The following is a 13099-nucleotide window of genomic DNA, read 5'->3' as shown; positions in this document are numbered from 1 at the left end:
GCATGCTCAGACCATTCTGGCTGCCTTGTACCAGCCCTGGGGTAGGCCCTGAATACGCAAGAACAAATGTGGACTCTCACTCTGTAAAGTCTAGAGAAAGGTCATGAGGGAGTCACTGGTGGGCACAATTGTACTATATGCTAAGGCAGGGCACACAGTGAGAGAGTTGTGGGAGCCCAGTAGGAGAGCAATCTATAAATGCTAGTGGACTGAAAGTGTTAGAGATATGGTGCCTAGAAGGAAAAAATAAACAGATGCACAGAGGACTAATCCTCTCTGTAATTCCACATAACGAACTTTATGCCAGAGAAAGACACAGCAAATTGTCTTGAATCTATTAACTTGTTTTCCATAAATATTTAATTATTCAGAAATATGCCAAAAGCACAAACTTCCCTTGCCCTAGTTATCAGGCTTATACAACAGTGGGTGATAATTACTGTATCCAATAAACATGGACTTAAATACATTCCCTATTCTTCCTTTCATCTCAGATGATTTTAAAAGAAACCTATGATGTCAAGGCCAAAGATTCAAATTTTCTTCTGCTTACTCAAAAATTGACTTAACCTTAAAAAATAAATATTTAAATCCTGAAGAGGGAAAGTATCATGTTGTATTATCAGTTTATATTAAAGACCAATCATTTACACGGAATAATGGAATGATTAAACAGAAAGAACTTGAGAAGCAGCCCCCAGTTCCTAAATGGGCCTGAGACAAACGCGCCCAGAATGGCTCCGTCCTCTCCCTCACCAGTACCCTATGTCTTTGTGGGAGCTGAGGCTTGCCTCTGCAATCCCAGCGCAGGAAGAGTTCTGCCTGCCACCCTGGACATGCTTCCCAGCCCCCCATCACCAAGTACATGTGTGTTTTAACACATTGCTTGTGCAGTAACTCATATAACTTCCACAGACAATACATTAATACCCTGAGAAAAGCATCCTAAAAATCTTACTACCCTGGGTGAAAAGAGGACACTATTCTAGCTCCCACTTCCTGGGTGCTCACAATGTGCAAGCCCTCTGCTAAGCCCTATTTTGTAGCGTCTCCCTGAAACCCTGTACGAACCACACAAAGGCGCGTACTATCTCACCTCTTGTATCGATGAGGAAACAGAGGTATAGTCATTTGCTCAAAGCCACATGGCTTGTGAGTGATGGTGTCAGGACACAAACCCACATCTGTTTGTGTCCCAACTCCAGAGTCCGTGTTTTAAGCACTGCCCTATCTGCCTCTCTGATGCTCAGGAGATAAATCTCCTGCAAAGAAGAACACGACAGACTTGAAAGCTCTACAGAAAAACCAAGGAATTATTTGCTGTTCTGGGTCTTCAGGTCTCTGCGCTCCTCAGCAAGCACAGGTGAGACAAGTACAACTCATGCCTCTCCTTGGGGAGAAGTCATGGAATGATCAGTGCAGGTACTCAGACAAAGAAAAGGTGTTCACAATGATGACAGGTGAAATGTATCTTTCAGAAGAGCTCACGCAGAAAGTGGGGAGGAAACACTTACAGACAAGCCTATAGCCCTGGAGCCATAATATCAGCCACAGGGCTAGTGAGGAAGGTCCTGAGGACTCCTTGAGCGCTTGGTGACTTCAGAGTTGATCTCTCAGACGACTTGACCTTCACATTCAATACCTAACTTTCATCATGACCACGACACTATCACTAGGATCCTGAGAAACAGCTCAAGAGGTGCTTCTTGGTTCTCCCACAGCATCACGTATAATTACAATAGTGAGCACTCTGTAAGCATTAGCTTCCCAGCAGGCACTGTGCTAAACACTGCACTGCATTATTTCACTGAAATCTTCAACAGCCCTAAGTTAGGTAAAACTGCTATCCCCACTTTACCAAATCAGTAAACCAAGACTCAGAGCTGGGAAGACACCTGCCCATGGTCACACAGGTTGTCTGTGACAGAGGCAGGATTTGAACCCGGGTCTGCCTGGCCCCGAGCCTGAAACTGCTTGGCCACTTCATGAGAGGTTCTCTGTTATGGCCAATCGCCTTCAGTCACCTTCTGTTTGTGGGTGACTTCTCCACTGACTGTGAGATCCCAAAGGGCAGGGACAAAGCTTCATCTGCATGTGTCCAGCATCCATTACAAGGTTGAGCCCAAAGCAAGAGCCCAGCAAGGCAGGTTAATGAATGCCCACCTGAAGAAAGTCAAGTGTATTCTCTGCCACGAAAGGAGGCCCAGAAACACTCCTCACAGAAGCCAATCCAACCAACTCTTCCCCCGAGTTAAAATCTATGAGCCACCTACTCAGCTCCTTTGGCCTGCACCTCCACAACTCCAGCCCAAGGCAAGGGAGAGCAGCCATACTTCTGTGGAAAGGAGAGGTGAGTTTCAGCAAGCATGAGCAGCTCATTCCAGACTTGTCCATTTTTCTGCTTCCTCATCTTGACTTTCAGCATCTGCAACAAATATTTCCTTCTTCCCCATCCCTAAGATTTTTTAGGACAAGTATCATCAGCCATACCCAAAGCCTACACCTAGCATATAGCACAGCACATGCCTGTCTCAGAGTCAGCACTCAAATATTTGGGGAGTGAAGAAGTAGAGTCCAGAGAATGGGTTTCACCAGAGACCTGGTGACGTATAAATAAGAATTTGCCACCACTTAGTAGTATGATTTGTCTAAGCACAGGTCCATCACACTATTCAACAAGAGCCTACCCTGTGTCAAGCTCTGGAGACCCAGCAGCAAAGAAAGCAGGAGACTTTCCCTGTGCAGAGTAGAGACACAGGCAAAAAGTCACACATGCAATAACATGATGTGTGCTCTGATCCAGGTACACACAGAATGAAAGTCAAGGGAGTACAAATAGGAGGGTGCCTGGAAAAATTAAGTAGGTTTCACAAAGGAGGGAAAATTTGAGCTGAGGAGGCATTCCAAACCACCCCAGGGAGAAGTCACTGTTCCCTGCCTCTGTGATCTCACACAATGCTCGCCTCCCACGACCTGGCCCACTATACTGTTTGGTAATCAATGGCTTGTGCGCCGATCTCCACACACAGCATGTGAGCACCTCAAAGGCAAGGACTTTAGGTATTCTCCATGGCTCACCCTTAATTGTCCAGTAAATATCTGCTCACAAAGAATAGAATCTATTTCAGATTATTAATAACATAGCAGCTCATCCTTCTTAAGCACCTACTATGACCTGCTATTGCTGTATGTACTTTGCATAGCATGATCTCCCTTCCTCCGCACAAAAACCCCCAAAGACAGATCCTATTATCATTATCTATTTTACAGATATGGAAACTAAGATGCAAAAAGATTAGATAAATTGTTCCAAGTCACACAGCCAGTAAGTGACAGAGCTGGACTTTGAATCAAGGCCTGAATGGAAAATCAGTTCTCAATTACCAGTGAACAAATCTCTTTTCCTTTCTCTTTCTGTACTCCGCCTTGCATCCAGATACATGGATTGCCCTTTAATCTACTGTTCACTGGGACCAAGGCCACTTTTTTTCCTAGGACAAAGGATGTCTCTTGTTAGTCTTCTAAACAATGACTGCTAACCAATACTGAGTAAACATCATTGGGGTGTGGGGGGTGGAGGTACAAAATTATGCTTATATCAGTCAAAAACATTTATTAAGAAGGAACTGTATATACTAACTGACACATTTTCCAATGCTAGAACAATGTCCAAAGTAAATCAAGTGGATACATGAAGCACCAATGAGTATGTATAAAATGCTATTCTTTGTGTAAGAGAAAGAATATATAATAAACAAGAAACTGGTAACAGTGGCTGCCTCTAGGGAAAAGGACTAGGAACTGTCAACTTGAGGCAAGAAAGACACTTACAACTTATTCCCTCACTAGCCTTAAAAAAAATCCATGTGTGGGCCCGGTGCGGTGGCTCACGCCTATAATCCCAGCACTTTGGGAGGCCGAGGCAGGCGGATCACCTGAGGTCTGCAGTTCAAGACCAGCCTGACCAACATGGAGAAACCCCCTCTACTAAAAATACAAAATTAGCCAGGCGTGGTGGGGCATGCCTGTAATCCCAGCTACTCTGGAGGCTGAGGCAGGAGAATGGCTTGAACCCGGGAGGCGGAGGTTGCTGTGAGCCAAGATCGCGCCATTGCACTCCAGCCTGGGCAACAAGAGTGAAACTCTGTCTCAAAAAAAAAAAAAAAATCCATGTGTGATTTTTTTTTTACTTCCTCAAAATATAAAATAAAAACTATACTTGCTAGACGTGGTGGCTCATGCCTGTAATCTCAGCACTTTGGGAGGCCGATGCGGGGATCACTTGAGCCCAGGAGTTCGAGACCAGCCTGGGCAACATAGTGAGACTCCCATCTCTACAAAAAATTTAAAAATTAGCCAGGTGTTGTGGCGCAGTACTTGGGAGGCTACGGTGGGAGGATCATTTGAGCCTGGGAGGTCAAGGCTGCAGTGAGCCGTGACTGTGCCACTGCACTCCAATCTGGCTAACAGAGGGAGACCCTGTCTCTTAAAAAAAGTTTTAAACGATATTCAAAGAAACCATTTATTACTGGGCCTTTCCCAAATGCTTACATACGTACGATTGCAACCATGAAGAATTATGTATGTTTACGAACAAAAATTGAATGAATTTAATGTGTGATGAAATGAAACCATGCAACAACTTTTGTCTTTTATGTTGAAGTTCACTAATTTTACTAATGTTACAATATTTTTGTGCAATAAATAAAATGTATGTTAAGGGTACAGAAACCATATGCATAAAAGTAGCAGGGACAACTTGCCACACCTTCTTTCCAGTCAAAGTCCTTCATCTGTTCTTTCAACAAGCATTCGGTGAGCACCTACTATGGCCAGGCAAGGTGCTAGACAGATATTTTTAAAAGAAGAACTAAACAAGAGGTCATTAGTTTCCTCCCTCCTGCCTTTGAAGAAAAGATGACGGCATGCTAACCAGAAGGCTAGAGCTCGAAGGACTCTTGGTGATCACATAGTCTAACACCCTCCTCACTCAGCTAAGAAACCCAAGGTCTGGAGACAGGAAGGGATTTGTTCAAGGTTACATAAAAAATAGAGGCCTCAGAATTCCCTGTCCTGCTCTCCTTGCATGTTACATGCTGTTCTGAGTAGCTTGTGTTGAAAGATGGGCAGGCAGTGAGAGACAGAACAGGACCCTAACCAGGTGGATCAGGTGCCTTCTCCCCTCCCGTCTCATTTATTCTTCATAACAACCTCACAAGGTGGGCATGGTTATCCTTGCTTTACAAATAAAGAAACCAAAGCTCTGTGAAGCTAAGGAAGTAGTGCTGGTTCACTCAGCAGGAGGTGGCAGCCTGCAGTTTCAAACAGACCTGACTGACTTCCAAGTCTGAGCTCTTACCCTCCATACTGAAAAGGAAAATCCATTTCAAGAGGTGGGCCATATCACAGAGCCTCACATGCAGTATTTTTCATTAATGAAGTATTTCTCTCCACCCTGAATGTTGCTAATCCCCTCATTATTCAACACATGTTCTAGGTCTTCTTTGCCACCAAGTTTGAGCTTTCCTTCTAACCCAAAGAGCATGATGGTCACTCAGACAGCAGCAGTCTCTGAGAGCCATTAACACCGCTTCTGCCAAGACAGAGTGGGAGAACTCTCACATGCTGCTTCTAGATCCTCTGGGACCTGCCACACAAGCACAGGCACCAGTAAGGGCCTAATCCCCTCAATGCTACTGGGTCACCACTGCACCAACTAGTGGTAATGAGGGAGGCCAGCACCATGGTTCCTGGCCCCTAAAGTCCCACAGCTTCTACAGTGAAAAAAAAAAAATTCAGGTTAGTAGAGAAGGCTCCACCTACCTTCACTTCTGTCCATGCAACGAAGGTAGGAGGCATTACAGTTTGGACTGGTCAACTACCAGTGAGCAGAGGCACTGGGCTTTGAAAGGTCACATATATGGGTATACAACACTCTTCTGAAATTCAGAAAAAGCCCTGTCATCCTGCTTCCTTCTCCCCGCCCCTGTGGGTACACAGTGGAGTCAGGCATTGCCTTCTTTTGGGGGTCTTCTTTTGGGGATTTTTGTGTGTTTTGAGATGGAAAAGTCTCACTCCATCGCCCAGGGTGGAGTGCAGTGGCACGATCTCGGCTCACTGCAACCTCCGCCTCCCACGTTCAAGCAATTCTCGGCCTCAGCCTCCTGAGTAGCTGAGATTACAGGTGCCCGCCACCATGCCCGGCTGACTTTTGTATTTTTTAGTAGAGAGGGGGTTTCACCATGTTGGCCAGGCTGGTCTCGGACTCCTGACCTCAAATGATCCACCCGCCTTGGCCTCCCAAAGTGCTGGGATTACAAGCGTGAGCCACCGCGCCCGACCCTCTTGGAATGTGGTAAAATCGGGGTCTGTACTTGGATGGGGGCAGAGGGACTTCCATAGCCTCAGGCCTGAGCTTTATGTTCCAGCTCAGAGTCCTCACCGGGGTTGGGGTCTAAAGGTCAGCAAACAAATGTTCTGCTGCTTCCACTTGCCACTGCTCCCTGCGTTGCAGCAGCTCCCTCAGAGGCCTCGCAGAGAGAAGCAGTCACGATCCAAGACACGGCTGAGTCTTTTGGGAACTCCCAACAAAACCTCATCCCAAACTGCGAAAAGACAGTGGTCTAGTCTCACCTCTTAACTAGAAACAAACCCTCTCTTCTTTAGACTCTCCAGTCCCTGAATCCAACCTGCCCATCGGCACAAGAAAAAGGAAACTCATAACTTTATCCAGCGATTTGCTCAGTAGGCACTGTTTCATCCTATCCTCACCAGGCCCCTGGGAGGCACACAGGCAGGTACTAACATGCTCATTTTGCAACGGAGGAAACAGGTGAAAAACTCTCCCAGGTAGCATAGTCAAAAGCTTCTGAATTCTCATCCCTGCTCTCCCCACTTAACAGGCTGCCATTTCAGTCTTTTTGAGACGCACTGCTGAGATCTACAGCAGCTTCTGGTACCAGTGGCCAGCAAGCCAGGACCCCTCCCAAGCCTCATACTACTCTTCAAGCACACACATTTTTCAACAACCGATCATCCAATGACAACCAACCCCCCGCCCCCCGCATCCTGGCAAGCCCCTTCAATAGCAACAGGAAAGCCCCTGAGGTGCGAAAAACAGCGCGCCCCACTTAGGGCGCGGCGTAGCATAGGGGAGGCAACCGGCCAGTAACCAGGGCAGCTGAGCTCCAAGCCCGAGTCAGCAGAGGCACAGGCAGGCCCGGACGGCCCTTCTAGCGGCAGCCCCGGATGCCCCCAGAATCCTCAGGGAGCCCAAAGCCCCCGCTCCCACCCAAGCACCCCTGGGCAGCGGAGAGGGCGGCCTTTCCTTCTCGGGCGACCACTCACCCTCGCCTGCTCCTCACCTGGGGCCCTGCTTCCGTACCGCAGCCACCCGGGCCCCGCCCCCCACCGCTGCAGGTCCCCGGGCCCCGCCCCCCGCACCTGTGCTTTCCTTGGGTCCAGCGCGGGCCGCACCCCACAGCCCCGCCCACGGCAGCCCCGCCGGCCCCGCCCCCCGCACCTGCAGCCGCGGCGCCCCGCCCAACTGCCCCCCCGGCCCCGCCCCCCGCGCCCGCGCCTCTTCCCCGCCGTCCTTCACGCTCCCGGGGACCAGCGCGCCCCTGGCCCCGGACCCCAGAACCCCCGGACCCCGGCCAGGCCCCGGCGCCGGGCACCCGCAGGCACGGCCCCGGCCCCGCCTCCCGCACCGAGGCCCCTCCCCGGCTTCGGCGGCCCTCGGGGTCCCGCCCCCCACACCTGCAGCTCCCTCAGGCCCGGCCTCAGGGCCCGCCCCGCCCCGCCCCGCCCCGTCGGCCGCGCCTCTCACCGCCGCTCTCCCCGCCGCCGCAGTCCCGGCCGGTCACCTTGACGCGGGCCGCAGTGGCTGCCGCCGCTTCCTCATGGCCCTGGGAGCGGCCCAGCGGCAGCGGCGCCTTCGCTTGGAGGCCGGGGCCACGCCGAGCCGGGCCGGGGCCGGGCCAGGCGCAGCTGGAGCGCGGGCAGACGCGGGAGCGGAGCCGGTGCCCAGCCGCAGTAGGAACCGTCCGCTCCAGGGCCTGAGCGGCGGGCCTCTCATCCAATCGGCGCGCGGCACCAGAACAGCCCCCCAACCAGCTCGTTGTAGGGGCGGAGACACGCAAATCGGCCGGCTGGTCGTACCAGTGCGCAGCCGCTGCATCCGCGGTCCTCCCGGGCCTCGGCCTCCGAGCTCATCTGCAGACGCCCTCCCCGCCCGCAGGGATGCTGCGCTGCCAGCACACCCGGCCCGCCGCCCGCCACGCCCATCCCCTGCCTAGAAATAGCCGCGCATCTTATTCCCCACACGGCCGTCCAGGCCTCACCCGATATCCCCCGTAAATCCCTACCTGGGATTTATCGTTTTCAACAAAAATGGTTTTGTGAGCGAGACATCGCCTTAGTGCCCATTCTTCACAGCTGGGAGGTAGGCACAGAGCCCAGAACGTCAGAGCCAGAAGAAACCTCGGAGTTCCTGGCGGGGCGGGGGGGGGGGCGGTCTCATCCATTTTACAGCTGGGCAGAGTTAGGCCCAACGAGGTGAAGGGACTTGCCCAAGACCACACAGGAGCAAAGCTGGGGAATGAGCCCGGATCCTGTCTCTCTGCTCCCACATCTTTACTCTGTGCCAGGCACGGTGAGGTGGGCACAGAGGTTAAGTCATTTAGCTAGAGTCGCAGGGATAATAAATTGCAAAGACAATTGAAGCCAGGTCTGTGAATCCCTGGAAATCTGGAACCACAGCAAAACTCCGTTCTGCCTCCCACAGACAGGAGGTACTATGACCTGCCCTACTCCGAAAGATTCTTGGACAAATAGAACATCATTCTGACAATCTTCAAAGTAATTTTGCAGTAATATGAATGAATATGGAATGATTGGTTATTATGCTTCCCAAAGCTTATGAAAGGAAAAAAGAAACAAACAAAAAAGAATATAAATAGAGTCAGTAGAAGTTAAACCACCTGTGTCTTAAAAGACCTCTGGGAGAAGTTTCTGCTATTTTGTATTAAGAAAACGGTAATCATCGAAGAAGGTGCTTAATTATTTTGCATAAAGAGAACAAGAGCCTGGCGAGTTGGCTCATGCCTGTAATCCCAGCACTTTGGGAAGCCAAAGCGGGAGGATTGCTTGAGTTCAGAAGTGTGAGACCAGCCTGGGCAACATGGCCAGACCCTGTCTCTAATAACAATACAAAAATTAGCGAGGCGTGGTGGCGCAGACTGTAGTCCCAGCTACTCAGGAGAGTGAGATGGGAGTATCACTTGAGCCCGGGAGGTCAAGGCTGCAGTGAGCCTCAAGTGATGGCGCCACTGCACTCCAGCCTGGATGACAGAGCGATACCCTGTCTCAAAAAAGAGAGAGAGACCATCCTGGCTAACATGGTGAAAACCTGTCTCTACTAAAAATACAAAAAATTAGCCGGGCGTGGTGCGGACGCCTGTAGTCCCAGCTACTCGGGAGGCTGAGGCAGGAGAACGGCGTGAACTTGGGAGGCGGTGCTTGCAGTGAGCTGAGATCGCACCACTGCACTCCAGCCTGGGCGACAGAGCGAGACTTCGTCCCAAAAAAAAAAAAGAAGAGAGAGAGAGAACAAGAGACAGTGTAGTGCAATGGTTCTGCCCTGGCTCTGCCACCAGCAAGCTGTGTACATGTGAGCAAGTTACTTAGCATATCTATGTGCCTCCGTTTCTTTCTTTTTTTTTTTTTTTTTTTTTGAGACGGAGTCTTGCTCTGTTGCCCAGGCTGGAGTGCAGTGGCACGATCTTGGCTCACTGCAACCTCCGTCTCCCAGGTTCAAGCAATTCTCCTGCCTCAGCCTCCCAAGTAGCTGGGATTACAGACGCCAGACACACCATGCTCAGCTAATTTTTGTATTTTAGTAGAGATGGGTTTTCACCATGTTAGCCAGGTTGGTCGCGAACTCCTGACCTCAGGTGATCTGCCTACCTTGGCCTCCCAAAGTGCTGGGATTACAGGCTTGAGCCACCGCGCCCAACCTGCCTCGGTTTCTTTATTGAAAGATGAGAATGATAAAAGTAGCAACCTCTTTAGACAGGCTGTTGGCAGGAATTAATGAGATGATACATGGAAGAGTGCCTGGCACCTAACAGGACCTCAATAAACATTGGCTACTATTATATTTACCTGTGTGACTTTGGGCAAGCACAGAAGTGTGTGCAATGTACGCTTGCTAAATGGCATCTATACTTTTATTATGCTTATGCATACTTTCTAAGTTTTTTCAATGAACACAGATTCTTTTGTGATATATTAGAAGTTATTATAAACCCAATTTTAAAATGAGGAAAGGTCATTTAATATTGATTCTTGATGCTTCCAGAAGGATGTATTCATTCTTTCTACAAATATCTAATGGTTCTCTGCTATGCGCCAAGTGCTACTGTAAATGCTGAGAAAACAGCAGTGAATAAAAGAGACAAAAATTCTTGTCCTCGTGGAGTTGACATTCTAGTGGGGTAAGGCAGCTATTAAAATCAATATTTACAGTAGTAGGCTAGATAGAGAAAAGTGCTATGGGAGTAAAATGAAGCAAGGAAGAAGGGAGTTCAACGTTAAAGAAGACAGAAAAGTTTAGATGGTGATAAGCGAGAAATAATAGGTTTCTTAAAGCAATAAAGCCAAGTGCAGTCTGAGAAAGAGAGAGAGAGAGAAGGATCTGAATAGACATTTCTCCAAAGAAGATACACAGTGGTCAATAAGCACATGAAAAAGTGCTCAATATCATTAGCCATTAGGAAAATGCAAATCAAAACCACAATGAGATACCACTTCACACCCATTAGGATGGCTACAACAAATAAGATAGACAATAACAAGTGTTGATGAGAAGGTGAAGAGAATAGAACCCTTGGCTGGGCGTGGTGGCTCACGCCTGTCTCCCAAGGTGGGTGGATCACCTGCGGTCAGGAGTTCAAGACCAGCCTGGCCAACATGGTGAAACCCCATCTCTACTAAAAATACAAAAAAATTAGCTGGGTGTGGTGGCAAGTGGCTATAATCCCAGCTGAGGCAAGAAAATCACTCGAACCTGGGAAGTGGAGGTTGCAGTGAGCTGAGATGGCGCCATTGCACTCCAGTCTGGAGGACAAGAGTGAAACTCCCTCTCAAAAAAAAAAAAAAAAAGAGAGAGAGAGAATGGAACCCTTATACACTGCTGGTGGAAATATAAAATGGTACAACCACTTTAGAAAACATAGAGTTAGCATATGACTCAATCACTCCACTCCTACTTACCACCCAAGAAGAAATGGACACAACATGTCTGCACAAAAACTTGTAGACAGGTGTTCACGGCAGCATCATTCACAATATCAAAAAATGTGAATAACCCAAATGTCTATCAAGTGATGAATAGATAAATAAAATATGGTTTGTCTATACAAGGAAATGAAGTACTGATGCATGCTACGACATGGATGAAACTTAAAAACATGCTAAGCGAAAGAAGCTAGACCACGTATTATATGATCCCTTTTATATGAAATGTCCGTAATAAGCAAATCTATAGAGATGGAGGGTAGACAAAGTGGCTGTCTAAGGCTGAAGGAGAGGAGGATTTAGGGGCAACAACTTAGGAGTTTCTTTGGAAGAGGATGAAAGTGTTCTAAAATTAATTGTGGTGATGGTTGTAAAACTCTGAATATACTAAAAGCCATTGAATTATACTCTCGCTCTTTTTTTTTCTTTTTTTCTCTTTCTTTTTCTTTTCTTTCTTTTTTTTTTTTTTTTTTAACAGTCTCACTCTGTTGTGCAGGCTGGAGTGCAGTGGCACGATCTCAGCTCACTGCAGCTTCTGCCTCCTGGGTTCGAGCAATTCTCCTGCCTCAGCCTCCTGAGTAGCTGGGACTGCAGGTGTATGCCACCACACCTGGCTAATTTCTGTATTTTTGTAGAGACAGGGTTTCGCCTTGTTGGCAGTCTGGTTCTGAACTCCTGACCTCAAGTGATCTGCCCGCCTCGGCCTCCCAAAATGCTGGGATTACAGGCATGAGCCACCATGTCTGGCCGAATTATACTCTCTAAGTGGGTTAATTATATCTCAATAAAGCTTTTTTTTTTTTTTTTTTTTGAGACGGAGTCTCATTCTGTTGCCCAGGCTGGAGTGAGGTGGCACAATCTCGGCTCACTGCAACCTCCGCCTCCCGGGTTCAAGTGATTCTCCTGCCTCAGCCTCCCAAGTAGCTGGGACTATAGGTGGGTGCCACCACACCCGGCTAATGTTTTGTATTTTTAGTAGAGACAGGGCCAGGGTGGTCTCGATCTCCTGACCTCATGATCCGCCCGACTCGGCCTCCTAAAGTACTGGGATTATAGGTGTGAGCTACCACACCTGGCCAATAAAGCTATTTTTTAAAGTTATTGTTGGCCAGGCGCAGTGGCTCACACCTGTAATTCCAGCACTTTGGGAGGCCAAAGCAGGCAGATCAACTGAGGTCAGAAGTTTGAAACCAGCCTGCCCAACATGGCAAAACCCCGTCTCTACTAAAAATACAAAAATTAGCTAGGTACAGTGATACATGCCTGTAGTCCCAGCTACTTGGGAGGCTGAGGCAGGAGAATCACTTGAACCCAGGAGGTGGAGGCTGCAGTGAGCCAAGATCACACACCACTGCACTCCAGCCTGGGCAATACAGTGAGACTCCATCTCAAAAAATAAATAAATAAATAAAATGAAGTTATTGTAAAGTCTGGTCAATCCCATCATTCCCATGCTTAAATATGTGTAACAGGATGTGGAGAGGATCTTAGCTGTGCCCACTAGAGTTCACTGTCAAAGTGTGATGTGCTGGTGAAATGGGCACATTCTTAGTATCTGATGTGTTTGAGTCACTCTCCATGAGGGAAAGGAACTTTTGAGCCACAGGAGGAAAGGAGGATTGGAGAAATCACCAAGGGTCAAGCCTCAACCCGGCTGTCTTTGCACAAACTTATACTTCATGGAGAGCCAAACTTGGGAAGGTTCAAGGAGTTGTTCTCATTAGAGATGCTGACCCATAAGGAAGGTGTGACAGACAGACTCTAAGGTGTCCCCATAATGCCCACCTCATTATGTCCCTGC

At 48.6% G+C, this 13099-nt stretch overlaps 1 protein-coding gene across 52 annotated transcripts in view, besides 3 other annotated features; it reads right to left on the bottom strand.

Annotated features, from left to right (window-relative positions):
• Positions 1 to 8059, bottom strand: part of RALGPS1 (Ral GEF with PH domain and SH3 binding motif 1) — a 308385-nt gene extending 300326 nt beyond the window's left edge. For 39 of the 52 annotated variants that reach the window (XM_011519233.2, XM_047424120.1, NM_001322321.2 and 36 more), the window contains exon 1: positions 7829 to 8059. The gene's annotated coding sequence lies outside the window, so the exon portion shown is untranslated. Of the gene's footprint in view, positions 1 to 7347; positions 7403 to 7828 lie in introns of those variants that run through there. The other 13 variants (XM_047424119.1, XM_047424121.1, XM_047424134.1 and 10 more) reach the window with 3 other exon arrangements.
• Positions 5755 to 5804: an enhancer, noted in NCBI's record as "active region_29025". NCBI's record gives its function as "activates an Ori minimal core promoter by ATAC-STARR-seq in GM12878 lymphoblastoid cells {active_cell/tissue: GM12878}" and the evidence as "EXISTENCE:reporter gene assay evidence [ECO:0000049][PMID:35858748]".
• Positions 7098 to 7167: an enhancer, noted in NCBI's record as "active region_29024". NCBI's record gives its function as "activates an Ori minimal core promoter by ATAC-STARR-seq in GM12878 lymphoblastoid cells {active_cell/tissue: GM12878}" and the evidence as "EXISTENCE:reporter gene assay evidence [ECO:0000049][PMID:35858748]".
• Positions 7658 to 8087: a silencer, noted in NCBI's record as "silent region_20297". NCBI's record gives its function as "represses an Ori minimal core promoter by ATAC-STARR-seq in GM12878 lymphoblastoid cells {active_cell/tissue: GM12878}" and the evidence as "EXISTENCE:reporter gene assay evidence [ECO:0000049][PMID:35858748]".

The sequence above is a fragment of the Homo sapiens genome, chromosome 9 (assembly GCF_000001405.40).
Source record: "Homo sapiens chromosome 9, GRCh38.p14 Primary Assembly".
Lineage (NCBI taxonomy): Eukaryota > Metazoa > Chordata > Mammalia > Primates > Hominidae > Homo > Homo sapiens.
This window is presented reverse-complemented; position numbering and strand designations above follow the sequence as displayed.